The sequence below is a fragment of the Homo sapiens genome, chromosome 21, assembly GCF_000001405.40.
Source record: "Homo sapiens chromosome 21, GRCh38.p14 Primary Assembly".
In the NCBI taxonomy this organism is placed as follows: Eukaryota; Metazoa; Chordata; class Mammalia; order Primates; family Hominidae; genus Homo; species Homo sapiens.
The window spans coordinates 16,301,369-16,318,258 of record NC_000021.9 but is presented as its reverse complement, the minus strand read 5'-3'; the positions used below and the strand labels follow the sequence as shown (position 1 = coordinate 16,318,258).

General features: G+C 31.8%; 1 long non-coding RNA gene across 9 annotated transcripts in view, besides 1 other annotated feature; it reads right to left on the bottom strand.

Annotated features, from left to right (window-relative positions):
- MIR99AHG (mir-99a-let-7c cluster host gene) overlaps window positions 1-16,890 on the bottom strand; it is a 561,240-nt gene that overhangs the window by 313,469 nt on the left and 230,881 nt on the right. The gene's annotated exons all lie outside the window — the stretch shown is intronic.
- Window positions 7,778-9,418: an enhancer, noted in NCBI's record as "VISTA enhancer hs1304". NCBI's record gives its function as "enhancer in: neural tube[5/5] | hindbrain (rhombencephalon)[5/5] | midbrain (mesencephalon)[5/5] | forebrain[5/5]" and the evidence as "EXISTENCE:transgenic organism evidence [ECO:0001131][PMID:17130149]".

Here is a 16,890-nt window from a genome sequence, read left to right as displayed (position 1 = left end):
TGTTATTCCCATCATTATAAGAAAGAACTGAAGACTCAGACAGATGAATGCCTTCTCTAAGGTCAAAAGGCTAGCAAGTTAGTGAACCAGGATTAGCAGCCGGGCGTCCTCATGCAGTCCACTATATTGTGTCCATTATGATATGCTGCCTTGATGAAAACTGGCAAAAGACTACCTGGAGGTTGCCAATCTGCTCTGTACAAACCCAGAGCCCGACAGTTGACTTACATTTAAATTCCACAGAATTGAATTAAAGGTTGACTTTGAATGCATGGCAGGAAGGTCAACAGTAACATTAACTTTCAAAGACTTCTTAATGCCCCCCAAATTAAGTACAGACTCCCATAGCTTCCATCCAAGGCTATCACAGTGTGACTCCAATAAGAGCTTCCAGCTTTCCCTCATATACTTTTAAGACCTTTTTGCCTACACCAGACCATTTTCCCAAGTCACTCACCATGAATGAAAGCAAAGAGAGGGGAAGGTATAATTTGTTCCACCTGTAATATCTATCCTCTTCTTCCTCTCATCTATTTCTGTCACAATTTAGCCATCTTTTAAGAAGTCTTTTTCAAACCCTTCAAGTCAGCTGTGACTTCCTCCTTTAAAGTGTTTCTTATGACACCAAAAATCTCCTGCCTGGTACTATAGTTCATTGAAAAATTATTAAAAATCTTATTTCCCAAATAGGATATAAACTTTTTTTTCCTAAAAAAAAGTACTGTTCTTCAATTCTGTATTCTTTTTGTAGAGATTCTGCCATATAATGGGGAATCAGTAAATATTTGTGAAATTAAATACAATTGATTCAAAGAGACGAATGCAACCTTCAAATTAGTGATTTCAACATCCCACTGAAGGCAGAAGTAAAAGATATGGGAGACATGGAGCACAGAGTGAAATCAATAAATCAAAGTATTTGAAAGAATGAGAAAAAAGTAGAAGTAAATGGAAAGAGTCAATTGCAACCACAGCAGCTGGCACAATGTATTGTGCATAGTAGCTACACAATAAGTGTCTGATGAATGAATAAATGAACAAAAAGAGGAGAGTAAAAGAGGATAAAGAACTACTGAAGATAACTTTAAAACAGGGGTCATCATTTTAGGCTAACTGGGCAAACTCTAAAGGAAATTAGGTTACTGGTATAAAATATACTCTTCAAGAAATAAGGCGAAATATCCTGCTGCATTACCTTCTCTTCTGTTCTTTTGTTATAAAGTGCTTTCCTCCTTAATTTAATTTGAAGTACAGAACAATTCTATGGGTAGGCAGGCAGAAGAAACATGATTCCACCCATTTTATAGATAAGGAACAGGATCAGGGAGGTTAAGTCTCTAGGTTAAGATCAGAATTGGGACAAAGCGAAAACTTGAAGCAAAGTCTTCTAACTCTCACATTCTAACCTCAACCAATAGGCCAGCATCATCATCACCTCCTGGGGTCTTATTGGAAATGCAGATTCTCAGACTCCACCCCAGATGCCTGAATCTTAATTGAGTATTAACAATATCCCCAGGTTACTCTGCAGGTTCATTACAGGATGAAAGAGGAGCAACTGCTTTCTGGATGATTTGGGGTTTTTAAAAAAGAATTGGTAAAACAAAACAACTTTTAGGTGTGTTGTTAAAAAGTACACCCTGAGTCCTGGAATGCTGGAGTAAAAAGATAATAATTCATTTAAAGGAGGACGAAAAGAGGCAGAAAGAATCACCCTCTCCAATCCTTTATCCCAAAGAAGAGGGAGGAGCACTGTAAAATTCAAGGAGAAACACTTACACTCCTGTGAGCTGTTACTCTTTCAAAGTTTCACTTGAAGAGTTACTCTCACTTAGAGTTACTAAAGTTAACTGCTTAACTGGTATAAAACTAGAGAACCTATCTGCCTTCAAATATATATATCATGATGATATATATTTGACTAGATAGACAGACAGCAATAGAAGATCCATCACATAGAAATGTTATTCTTATATATATACATATTTGACTATATATATTTTATTTATGTTTTTATTTTGCATAAATTTATATATTCAAATACATATATATTCAAATACATTTATATATTCAAATATATAGTAAAATATATTTGTTACTTTTATATATATTTGGCTTACATATAGTTATATATATTCTTATATATAGGATATATATGAATAAATATATTCTATATTTATATATTCATATATCCTATATATGAATATAACTATATATAGTCAAACTATATGTATTTGACTAAATATATTTGACAATATTTGACAGTATATATAGAAAACTGTATATTTCATCATGTATACATATGTATAGCAGTATGTATAGTATATAGCAATAGAAGAACCATCACACCATACATATTGATATATGTGTATATATATATATAAAGTAGTAACACTATCACATAGAATTATTCTTACTTAATACTGAGTATTAATATAACTATTTCTATATTAAATAAGTATAATTAACAAAGCAATAAATAATATCCTATAAAGAATACTCAATATATATTATTAACTGATAATATGATTTATATAAAATATATGATAATGAATATGAATTTAAAAAAACATATTTTAGGTCCATGGATGTGGCCCTCAAAGAAAAAAAGAAATTTAAAGGATTGAGCCTCTTTTTAATGGAAGCAAAATTGAACAGCCTGGTGGAAGTAAATGAAGATGGAGTCAATCATTTGAGAAAAAAAGAATACAAAAGAGGCCACAAAGTAATGTAGCAAGCACAATAGTTGACATCCATCTGTAAAAACAAAGTATTGAGCGATGCTTACTTTAACACATGTTAACATTAGGGGGTCTGCACATACACAGAGACACACCATGGCTAAGTCAAATGGATTTGATACTCAACAAAAATAGGAAGGTTATGACATGCTAATTAAAGGAAATTGCTTTGGGTGATCTTATGTTAGTAAAAACAAACAATAATTTTTGGAAAGCAGGGCAATATAGAGCCTAAACATGGCTTTTTATAAACACATTCACCCCTCATTGCTCAGATAAAAGAATGGACAGGAGTAAGAAGGTCATTTCCCCTTTCAGAAGGGAGGGAGATTGTTTTTATTTTACATTTTTTAAGGTTCAAACACAGCATTTTTAAAAAAGTGGTTCAAAGTTCAGAGCTGAGTTTTAGACTCAATTACTACAGCATTCCAATGTAAAGATCTTCTGTATATATTTTAAAATTTTCCCTTTGCCACCTATTTATTACCATTATTTGTTCCTACCTTAGCAAAAATATAAGCGGAACAGAAGTGAAGAGCAGATGAGTATATATAAGGGGGAAAGATAGAAAGAGAAGATAGTCCAGTGAGAAGAGACATACAAAAGAGAGAATAGTTGAACTAGGCCCAGAAAAATGAATTAAATTTTCTAGATAGAAATTCTTAAAAAAAAAACACTATTTGTTATCAAGAGCAGAGATATGTGAGATATGTTCTTTAAAAATATATAAAATTATTTTATCTAAAATTGAAAGATAATAGTGCTTATAAATTTATCTATCAAATAGCAAAAGTATTTTTATTAAATATCTGACATTCAATAATTCATTTAAAAACCTTTCATATATAAATATTTTACAGTAATACGTTTTCAAATTTGGGAGGTGCTGTTTGAAAGAAGAGTTCCAGGTTTTATGGCACAGAGAAGAAAATTTTCCAGTGATAAAATTGTGTATGAATTTCCAGCGTGGTTGATATAATGAAAAGTAAAGCCTTTTACAACTTTATATTGGCTTCAGAGTTTTCAGAAGTATAATGTTAGTATGTCCAAAAGATTTTTTTCCAAATACAAAGAACATCTTATCCAATGAGTATTCAAATATGTATTTCATACATAAACACACAGGCATACAGTATTATCTAAGCTGAATGTCTGTGAGAATTTTCACTGGGTTTAGAATTGCTTGTATTTATCTTTAATAGTGAAGTATCCTTTGAGAATCTTGACGTTATGTGAAATTCTTCCCTATGTTTACAAACAGGATGGACAGCAAGATTCTGTAACGCAACCTGTACTTACTCCTCACTCAAGACTATATTAAGGATCATATCATTGCCATCTTGGTTGTACTATTCATTAATGTTTTGTGAATATGGAGCTCTCTGTGATGTACCAATACCTATTATGTGATGAGAGTAGAATCCAAAAAGTATATGAGATTCTGGGATTAAACCAGAAGAATTCTGGGAGTTAAATATATATATATATATATATATATATATATACACACACACACACACACACACATATATTTATCACTTTAAATTTGATAGATATATCACTTTAGATCAAATATATATATATTCTGTTATATTCAGAAAATTTTCTCTTGTGATAACACATTTCAGCTGCTTTCTTCTCACATTTGACTGTGGGCTCCACAACGACAGAAACCATGTATTAGTCATGTTTTAGTTTCTGATAAATAACACAAAACTTGGCTCAAAATAGACACTCGGATTAATTAATTTGAGGGCTCTGTAAACTGAAGTGCCTAGTGCTTTGGGTTCCTGGGTTTGGGAAGGTAAATTAGAACCCTCATATAAATCATCTCATATACTGTCACAAAGTAGATTCCAGAGGCCCTTCAAAACATGTCACCATAGAACTCATGGCTTCAAGCAATAAGGCCAAGGAAGAATCCATTCATGATTTTACATCTTTTATTTAGCCAATATCTATACTTATACGCTACCTATATTTACAGATTTTACTTGTTAACCTATTCACAGAAATTTAGTAGGTAAAAGATTAGTTGGGAATTAATTGATTTATCACTTAAAATGTGTTTTTCAAATTCTCTATTCATAGATTTTCCATTTTTGTTTTTCTCCTAAAAATCTCACCCAAGATGTCAGGCAGGTAAACATGTCTGATAAAATGCCGTAAATTACATGATATGCAATAAAGTGTATATCCTGATTAAAGATGCTTCATCTCAGCATTATACGAACTCAAAGTTCGTATGAAGTGGGTCTGAGTTAGAGACACTTTTAAAGGATGTCTGGAGATTTTCAGAGCTTTCATGTTGAGAACTCACTTAAATATGATTAGACAATTACATACCAGTGTATGTAAATGTTTTGATAGAAAAGGGATAAATGAATAAACATAGATGTTTATCCAGGTAATTTAAAGAAATCAGAAACATAAACTCTTTGAAATCCTGATATAACCGCTAAATCTTAAAAGAAAAATTGAGTGTCCAATATTTTTTAATGCTATCCCTTTCTTTTATGTCTAATGTTCACAATTTGCTTTAAATTGTTTTGTATTTTAGACAGTCTGATGAATAGAAAGCCTCTGAACTTACTGACCTTTTAGTGCACAGCTTACCTACAAAAATGGATTCAGAGACAAAATGAGGCAATGCTGTGCTGGTAAATGCTCAACAACCAGTCTCAAAAAAGGAAAAAGAAAAAAAGCCCTGATTTATAGCATTTGCTGATTTCCATGGTGCAAATACTCCTGCCACAACTGATTTCAAGCTAAGAAAATGATGTCACTGAAAATGGAATATAAGAAGAGATAGTTAAAATTGGTTTATTCAATCTGGCTTAAGCCAGCTTGAGCACATCTGTGAAATTAGGTCATATTACATTACTAAGTATTTTCTGAAAAAAGTTGATTAAATAGTTCTGTGAAATGATGTCAACTATACACCCTTCTTAGGTATGCACTATATACATTAGTCTTTTAAATGTCCTAAAATCTATTGTACATAAGAAACCTAATTTCCATTGTTTAACATAGCATCTTTCTCACATTTATTTGACTCTTTGATTTTTTTCCCTCAGAATACCTTCCAACATGTTTCAGAATAATAATGCTTCACAGGACCTTGTTTGGGAAATGTGGCTGTAGGCACACACTTCTAGTCATACTGGACACAAAGTAGTCATTTACTAATAGCAAATTACTGACAAGAAGGATTCATGCATATAGAACGGTCATACGAAAAAGGTTAGAAACGATATATGAATAAATAGAAGGGACTATTTCCTGATTTTCATGAGACTGGATTATTCTGAAAATTGTTTCATTGGTGCAACCATAGTTGTATTCATTTATTAGAGAGGTATTTATTGAGCATATACTATATTCAGAGCACTATCGGGACACTAAGTCACTGAAACATTTCAGACTCTTTTTTCACGTTTAAGGATAAATGCTCCATTAGGCAAGGCCAAGTTTAGTTTTCCTTTTTTAAACAAATTTTGAAGTGAGGAGGGCAAAACTCAATAATTAATCTAAAATGTAATTTAAAGGAATATTTAAATCTAACACATGTTAGGAGTGGAGGTTTTGCAAACTATATGCAGGATGTACATAATACACAGCTATTTGATAACTCAGATATAGAGAATTTTTTAAAGGCAAGAAGCTGTCATTTCCCACTAAATACTCAATATTAAATATTTTTACCTGGTTGTTAAATGTTTAAATAATAGCATTTTATGAACCACCAATTTGACTCTATTAGAATGTTTCTAAGTGTTTAAACATGTCCACACTTAGCAAGTTCATCTAATTTATGGTCACATGTAAATATTCCTAACACTGAACATGTTTTTGAAAAACAAAAAAGCAGGAGTAGGCTAAATGCTAACTGAAAAAATAACAAGAATCCAACTATCTATTTTGCAACAGATTTCAGGTAATAGACACAATTCCGTTTAATCACAACTCACAAATTATCATGCAATGTATAAACCTTCGTGTATTTGTTTTTGTTTTGTTTTGTTTTCCTTTGGAGAACTGACAGGTAGATTTTTCATTGGAGAAATATTTGCCACTTGACCTTTGGGAGAAAGTGTGATCCGTTGTTACATCAAAGAAACTCTGATGTTGAATTGTTTTGGTAGTATGTAAATTATTTAAAGCAAATAGAACATGGCTACTTTAAGATAATACATTCAGTGCTTATACTAGTGTATAGATTATTATACTATAATAGTGACATTCCAATAGCTCACTTTTTTTAGACCTTAAGTTATTCTCACCATGCAAGAATAGAAACTAATGTACCTCAACACATTCAAAGAAACCAAACAATAAGCATATGTTTGCCCATGAACCCAACTCAAATCAAGGCATCTATATGAGAAACATACCAGCAAATATTTCTCTGGTTTCTTAATTGAAAGCGTAAAATTGTTTCTACCATGATCACCAACACTTCATTGCTTTTGCGAAGCTATAAGGATATTTTCCTACAAGGTCAGTATTTGAAATGAATATCTACACACAAAACTATATGGTACCCATTTATATTAAAATACATAAATTCTGAAAAATAAATTTAATGAAAGTTGTTTTCATGCCTTGTCCTTTGAAAGATTCTTTCCTTTTTCACTCCCTAATTTTAACAATATACTTGCAAACAAAAATTGCTCAAAGGATACACTGCATGGAACATCTGTAGTTAATTGTGCATAGTTAGAACATAACCCAATATTAATTCTTCTAATATTGAGTTGTGGTACATTGTCAGAGGAATGTCTTATCCATGTTAATTTTATATATGTGTGCATTTTGTGTGGTTACTATATACTATGGTCTTTCCTTAATAATACAGAATATGTTACATTTCATGCTTGTCAAATTTTTATTCAGATAACATTAGCTGCTAGTGTATCATATTATGAAATTCAACTTTATCTTGCAGAAAAGAAAAAAACATTGATATTAGAATCTATAGACTCATTGATGTATTACACATCGAATAAACTACAAAGGCATGAATTAGAAACAGGACGATTGTCAGAGGCGAATGATTTTGCTGCAGATTTGAATTATCCATAAGCAGATTTCACGAGGCAGAGGCAAGCTCGCGCTATCTTAGAGGAGTAACCACACAACAAGGAAGTTTCTCACCAAACCTTCTACCTCTCCGCATGAGATCTAACAACGGAAATGAACATGAGATCTAAAACACAGAAAATCCTGGGGAGCACATCAAAGAGAATCAGGTCAGAGAGAGAAATTTCACAAGAACACAAATTCTATGTTATGGTCCGCCCAAAAGAGGAAAATATTTTAAAATGATATCCATAATAAAGCTATATTAACAATAAGCTGTATGGTCCTGCCATTGGAGTGGAGGGGTGTCTTGACCCTTGACCTCTGCTCACATAAAAGCCTGAGAAATGAAAATCATGTTTATCATGGTTGTTTGTTTTATACAAATTTACTGTCTTTCTTTAACTGATATAAGAAAAAAAAAAAATCTTTTCTGAAATAGCCCAAGTCTGGTTCTTAACAGTCATGTGACTGTTTTTTCTGCCAGCCATGTGCTCCGTATCATTTTACTCTGAAATAACTATGCGGATTTCAGCTCAACCTGCCTTTGCTTATAATGCATGACATACCCTGTGAGGGAGCCTGAGAACAGACTCCTTTGAAAAGCAAGGTTCTCATAGTTGGCCTGTAACCATGGAAGCAGATGCCGTTTTCTTCTCACCCTGCTTACCTCTTTGCAGCCTCGAGCTGCTCCCTATTGTTAAAAGGGGTACGCCTTGATTTTTCTTCATCATGACCGAACTTGCCTCTTCTTCAAAGGACATGATGCTGCAGGTCATTGGTCTAGACTGTTTGCACGGTCCAGAGAATAGCCTTGATGTAACCCTTGCTCCGTCTGAGCCACACCACCAGCCGTGCATCTGCAGACTGGAGGGGGACATTGGAGATCTGTATTTGAAAAGAAGTCTGTCTGATTTTGCCATTGTGCCTTTTCACTCATCGATCGAATGAATATCGAACCTTCTGTCGTTGCATGTGTGAAATAGATAGCTTAGCAAGCACTTTTGTGCCCAACCTGTGCAGTGGGCCAAAAGGTTTTCCTTTTAGCCTCAAGAATTTTTTCTTCAGACTTTATGAATTTCGTGTTAGCTTAAATTATTTATATGTCTTTATCCAACTGTTACGATGACCGTTTCAGTTACTTCGTCAGCAGTGACTTTCTTTTGGTATTAGAAGGAGCATTTTCTTTTCTGTCAACTATGTTTGTTTTCCTTTTAAGCTTTTTAAGATCTTCTAGATTAATTCATTTGTAACTAGAGATAGTATAACTTTGACTGTAACCTATGAAGCCAAAAAGTTGAGGTGTTCTTTCAAGGAGATAATGAGATGGTGTCTATCATTTAACAGGTTTATTCCAGAAAGGTGAACTTGAACTGCCTCCAGGTAATTTCAGTGATTTGTAAGAGTAAGTAAATCAAATAATCACATTGATTTTAAATTAAACAAAATTGTCTGATAAGCTCTGTTTCAAGGGAAAGTTTTTCTTTGTTTTTGCCCATTAAAAAATTTGCAAAAATGTTATTCTGGAGCATTAAAATAGACTCAAAAGCACATAAATTCATTATGATCTGTGAAAGGCATATAAAATCATGGCGATTTCATATGTTAAATAAATACTATATATTTATGATATATATCTTATGGCATGATTTAATTAGAAAGTACACAATATAAAAAGATTTTCACATTTCATTTTTAGTACAATTACAATTCACAGCTTGTCATCAATAACTAATGTTGACAATAACTAATAGCAACTATAACACCTGCTCATTCTAAAAAGCATTCTTTTACTGTGTTCTTGTAAAATCAGAATGACTTTAAAATGCCTCCTCTACTAATCTGCAGTATATTGCTTAGCAAGTACTGTCTGTATGTGTCATCAGTTTCTGTTTTGTTTTGTTTCATTTTAAGAACCCACTATTTCATACTTCAACGCATACCTATTTTCTCTAATTGCCACAGGCAAAGGGGAGGTCCCTGACAGAATAAAGAAGGTTATTGTGACAGATGAAACATAATTCACAATGAGTACTCTTTTCATCCAGCTCTAAGTAGCAGAGGATTACTTCCAAGCTGAATTTTGTGGCAGAATGTATGAGCTGATTTTATTAACACATAAGGATAGGGCAAAGGCAGAAAAACTATTTCTCCTCAGCTGGATGGTGGTTATTTTGTGTGTGTCTGTTTGGGGGCTTTATTTTGATCCACCTCAAGCAGAAGATATGCTGGCCAGAAGAGACTCTGAAGACATCGAGGGCATAGGCGGGGAGGGTAGAAAATAAGAAATTTAAAGTAATAAAAGTTGTGGGTTTTCTATACTAGATAATGAGAAATGATGAACTAAATATACAGTATTTCTACATTCTTTGGCATGCACATGAAATAAAGTCATACTTTTTTTCAACAAATACAACAGCTGCAAAAGTAGGTAAATTTTATTTCATAAACTTACCTTTCTTTAGATGATTTTCTTTGTTTTTCATATTTTTAGTTTCAAATGCTTTGTGAGATCTCTAGATGCCGTTTAGTTTTATAAGAGGGCTTAATATTAAACTTGGGTTAAATACGTATATGTTTATTTGAATATTTCACTTGCTTTCAATTGTTTGTTTTGCTTTTAATGACAAGGATTTTATTTGATCTTTATAAAATTTGTATATGCAAATACAAAAAATATTTTCCTTTCTATTTCTTATGAGGTCAAATTTTTAAATTAACTAAAAGAGGGGCAAAAACTTGTACTTGATAAATATCTGTGCATAATAAAAAGAAATCCCAGACTATAACATTTATTGCAATTCATTTGTTTTAAATAGATTTTTACTTACATTAACCATTTGGATTTAGTTATTCTTGAAAATTGTTTGTATTTTCTTCCCTAATACTTTATAGAAATTGTAGTTGAAATAGTTTTCTATCTGTGAAAGGGAAAGTGTACAGTTGTTCTGTCTGCTAGTATGCCTACTGTTACAAGACTTACAACAAAATGCTATTTCCCTATGTTCTTGTCCAGAAAGTTTAAAAAAAAAATCTAAATTCTAAATTGAAGTCTTTCTCAATTTATTGGATCCATTTCATATTTCAAATATTGTAATGAATAATTCAAATGCACTTAATTTAATTAGGTATTCCCTGGAAGGAGGAATAAGACTATAATCTACAACTATTTGTTATTTTTTTCTTAAATACAATAATTTGGTTATTTTGATATACCAATTATACAATTTGAATTAGCTGAAATGATTTCATTAAGTTGGTTTTGTAGCTAAAAGCTAAATTAAATACGTCATAATATTTATCTTGAAGTTTACCACTGTTCACAAATACTTATTACTTCATAAAGATTTACTTCTATTGACTGATTTCTTGGTGAATGAATTGTTAATGTTTAAAAAGTAGTAATTTAAAAATAAGAGTGCTTATTCTATAACTTGCAAAAATATAAAAAATAATATAATTATGATTTTCTATTTGTTGATGAAAGCAGAAATCCTCCTCTGTCCTCCCTACACAAAAAAATAACTGAATTAAACATATGCCTTGCAAATATTTTAGAATATTCTTTCGTTATGTTTTTGCTAACACAACTAAAAGATGATATTTTAACAAAATAAGAATTTCAAAGGAAAAATATAAAGATTTATATAGCGATTACTGTCAGATTGTCTGCAGAGATTTCCTATCTATAGTTTTATGTCTTCCTAATAATTACAGAAGAAAGCCAATTTACCTACTTTGGTATTTGGTAAAATTTTTCACTTCTGTTGTTATTTTATGACTATCCTCTTCATGTAATTTATTTGAAATAGCTGTACAACTTATATTTAGAAAGTATAAATGACTGAAGTGATATTTTTAATTAAACATAGGGGAAAGAAGAAAAGTTTCCGAATGATGATGTTGTTATTGAAATTGTTTAAATGTGTGGTTTATAGTATAGATTTTTAAAATAATAGGTTTTGTTTTGTTCATAGTTAAGTGGAGCATACCAAATGGTTTTATCTAAAAGTAAAATTCATTTGCACTCACTGAATATTATAAAATATTATATAAGAAAATAACTGTACGGCTCTGAGGATAAGACTTTGTTTTGCAATTACATGACAGCTTTTTAAAAATAACATCATGCAACCTGAAAATGATGTCATTGTATTGTTTCCATAAAGAATTTACCTGAACACCCAGCATAGTGCTGCAAAAAATAATAGAAATAGAGGCCAGTGTATTTTATTTCGGGTATGATCTTTTCAGAGTCAACCTCTGTTTTATTCAAAATTTATTTCCTGTGTTTCAGGCCCAGAACATTTTTCATATTGCATTCTTCTTCCTCCCTCTCCCTAAAACACATTTTGCTATAAACTTCTGCACCAATCACTAGGAAAGACACAAACAGTAGTAGCGGTTCAGGAAGCAGCCCCGTGAATGTAAAAATCACAGACTTTGATTTTATAAGACAAGTTGGATAGGAGTCAAAACTGCCACATGCGGTGTGAAAAAATGCCACCCTGGTGTGAACAAAAGGTTTAAAATGGAGTCAAGAAGCGTGCAAGCTCGATGTCTAAGCTTTTCCTGTGAATTGTCTGCCACAACCTGCAGGGTATCAAGTGGGCTGGGAAGAATAGAGAGCTCTTGGAAGCTACAACTGAGAAACATCGGCAGTCAAATGTGTTAGTTTTTGTTTTTGTTTTGTTTTTTAATTTATTTTGTTTTGTCTCATTTAGGCATCATTATACTAAACTGTTTTACCCAAAACATAAAACAAATCCAAAAAAAGTCACATAATGTGTGAAGAAACTGTTGCTTACAAATGAATTGTTACTTTTTTTTTTTGCATCCCTTCATTTATAGCAAAGCAAATTTATCAACTGCACTTTATAGTTTAAATTCCTTGTTTTGTGGGCTTGAGTTCTGTTTACAAAATGATGAACAGGAATAGAGGCTCATGAAGTCCTAAAAATTAGAATCTAAAATGTAACTATAACACGCATATTTGGTTAACTTCTAAATTACCAAGAAAAGGTGGAGAAAAAAGACTGAGTTCACTATTGGAAACAAGTATTTCAGTTTTTAATAAATAATGCAATAACTCTGAATTCAGCAGGAATAGACCCTTCAAGAAACACTGCTACAATATCCTGCTATAGTAAGCCAATTACACCTTTCTCTAATATTTTGCAATGTAAAAATTTACTCACAAATAATCAGTCATTAAACCATCATCATTTGCTTAAATAACAATAAAAGACAATTCAATTTTAAGGACAATTAAAAGGTATACCATTGTGTCATAACCCGCACTTCAATAATCTTAATATGTGTATAAAGGCACAACTCTATGAATGCTAATTACATAATAAATTATGAATAACATTTAAAGAAAGTAACATTTCCTAGGTGATTGTGATCTAATCAATACAACACATTTAAATGCCTCAACAAACATCTTTGATGAGCATTGAAAAGATCCTTAAACTTCGAAGCCAGTTTTATTACATTTGCATGTTATCTCTTATTAAAGATTGGGTCTAAAGCCAGCAAATCCCATTGGTTACGAATGCAGGTCAAGACAGGAACATTTTTCTATTTACTCTTTGTAACACTGGATAAAAATCAATCTGCTACTTTCATTACAACCATACAATCAATTCCGTTTAAAGTATAATACAACAGCCAAGTCCAAGGACAATATGGATTCTCGGAAAAAGCTTATACCGTTTGCAGGGCTGTACTTGATACAGCTCCTGGTAAATTGTTTTCTTTTTAATTAGTGTACCTGGTCATTTAAAGCAAATATGCCTAAATGAGTATTGCAATGTAGGATCCAACCAAAAATGGAGAGTACTCTCTTCATTTAAGCTGCATTTTAAAAAATCCTTTTTAAACAATAAAAACCATAGGAGAAAGAATTCTATTTTTAATCTAATATGACATAGCCATTTTGATATTTCAAGCAAAATTAGCACACACCAAAACTTCTACCTTGAAATTAGCATAAGAAATCCTTTATTTAAAATACCAGCTTCCTCTCATCTCTCAGCAAAATGACTTTATTTGGATTACTCTTACTTTACATCAAAATGACCAAGATTACTGCTTCTAGATTTTTTCTTGCACAAAGCATATCCCAGTAAACAAAAGAAATATGCCCACTGTATACTCCATTTACACATAATAGAATCACTATTTTAAATTCTTTTTAAGCACTAAACGTAAGATAATCTTCATATATGTAAATTATTAGAAAGCACAGATAATCCACTGTATACCAACACTAATGGTGGTTCAATGATTTATTTTCCCTTTATTTTATTTTTTCCCAGCTTTATTAAGATAGAATGACAAATTTAAAAATGGTATACATTTATAGTATACAGTCTCATGTTTTGATATATACAAATGCATTGTACAATGATTAAATCACCTCACATACTTATTTTTGTGGTGAGAACTTTTAAGATCTATTCTTGTAAAATTTTTTGAGTACAAAATACAATACGTTATTATTAACTAGTTGCCATGCTGTAAAATAGATCTCCGGAACATATTCATTCTTACGCTTTATATACTTTCACCGTCTCCCATTCCTCCCTCACTTTATTTTAGAAATAAGGATTTTTTCCTTTTTCACATCAGTTTTAAACATTTCAATTTACAGTCTCATGATTTTCTCCAACATGTAATGAATGTCTTCAAGAAAATCACAATTTATAGCTCTCTGAGTTATAATATTGAAATATATTCCTTATTTAAAATGCAGTATGCTCCTTCCATAGATGAGGAATAATTCAAATTTAAATTAAATAATTTGGTGGTTTTATTAAAAAAATCTATGTCATTTAATGCAAATCATATGATCCTGAAATTTTGGAGTTTGGAAAAGTTTTATCCACTTAGAAAAACAATTTCAAATTTTGCTTTAATATTTTATTCTTTCTGCAAAACCTTATAATGTCACATTTCTCTGTCATCTTTTAATAATCTGTTTATTATAATAACTATTATTAGTGAAACTCTCTTTCTAGTGATAAGAAGTAAACTGAACTTTTTTCAAGCGAAGCCTATGGATAATGCCTGAGACGTGAAGGTACTCCCACATCTTCTATGGTGCTCCAGATGTTCTCACCCAGAAACAGGCATCATTTTTGCTACATTTTTTGTGTACATTAGCAATGCCTAATGAATCCAATGTCAAAGCCTCCAGACACATCGTCACTGCCCAGCAGACATCCAGAGGCTGTTCTCCTCCAATCCACCTCAAGAACCCAATTTCTGATGGCCTTGCACAGCCTTCAACACAGCTGCTGTTCAGTTTTGTTTCCTTCTTTTCATTGGCCTCCAAAACTGACGGCATCTGAGTCTATTCTTGCCTCTCTCTGATCTATCAGACTCTAGTCCTTAGACTGAGCAGGCGCCACACTCACAGATGACTTGCAGAAATCATGCTCTAGGCCACAAAACTTCATCAGAGCAAATTCAGAATGCAGAGGTCAGAGATAGACAAGCCAAGCAAGCCTCTGACAGTAACTCAGCTGACACACGGATAGACTAGGACAGAGTGAATGCTAAAGTAAATGTTAGCTTAGGCCATTCATTATACAATCACTTAGAAAGCAAAAAAATTGTTTCAAGTACATGGGCCATAACTTAAATGAGAGATGTACCACTTTCGTGTTTATACACAGGCAAGCAAACAAACAAACAAAAAACACTTATATGCTCATTTTAATATTTTTTTGTAATTTTTTTATGTTAATGTCATGTTTTTATATGTTTCTAAAGCCCAATACCACCGCTGTTAAACTTGCATCCCTGAGATGGCATTTAACATATTCTTTATTTTAAGTTTTGTATCCCACCCCATCAGATATCCTTTTAAATGAAAGATAAACTTCCTGAAAAGTCAGAAATGGGTTAATCCTTCAGAGTCTATCCAAGTTTCTCTGGAATGTCAGGATTTCCTAAAGGAAGATCAGAAATCACTAGCTGTATTTCCTCAGCTTTTTTATTTTTCTCTAACATTTGAAAAAAAGAGGGCTAAATATGATTTACTTTTCTTTTTAAAATTAAATTTGTTCACAGATGCTCAGTTTCATATATCAAATCATAAAACATGATACTTTTCCATGTTGAAGGGATTTTTAAAACAATCTAATTAACATAATTTTGTATTACTTTTCCATTAGCTATACTACATTTTGGTAAAAGTAATGAGCTTGAGTTAATGTTTTTTTTAAAGAAAGTGTTTAAAACTATTTTTAAATGTCAAGACTTTATAAATAATATTTTATGTCACAAAATTATAGCCCCATGCTGAATATGCTTATAATATATCCTAAATAGGCAATGAAAACTTTATATGCTTTCATTGTTGCTTTGGACTAAAAGTAAAACCCCATCTATGAGCCACACTGTTCACTAATCCAAGAAAATACATGTCACTGTGATTTTAGGAAAAAAAATCTATCTTAGTTTATATTGTTCTTTAAAGCAAAGCCTCAAGTTCAAATCTTGAGCCCAGTGCACTGCCTCACACTTCTCAATTTATATTTAATAATGTCAAAATACAATTTAGACATTTGTAGTATTATAGCTTTTGCTATCAAAAGCCAATACACTTCAATTTATACATATAATTGTGAAACTTGTTCTAGAAATGGAAAACTATTGCCCTCTAAGCATATTTTACTTTAAAAAACATTGAATGAAAGTTGGAACATGACAATATTTCTAGAGAGCATTATTTCTTCCAGACAGTCAGATAACAACCATATGTTTATATATATATGGTTTGAAAGATAAATATAATAAGCTATAAAAACTTGCAATAAATTGGCAACTGTTCTTTGGGGGATATGATGTTTTATTAGAGGCCTTGCTCTCAAAAGACATTTCTGAAGTAACTCATAAACTAGTATAGACATTGACAACATTTTACATCAAATAGTCCTTTGGTCTAAAATCCAATCATTCATTCAAGTAACATATTATTGTTATTTTTAGACAGAGTCTCACTCTGTTGCCCAGTGCCAAATCTCAGCTAGCGGCAACCTCCACCTCTCAGGTC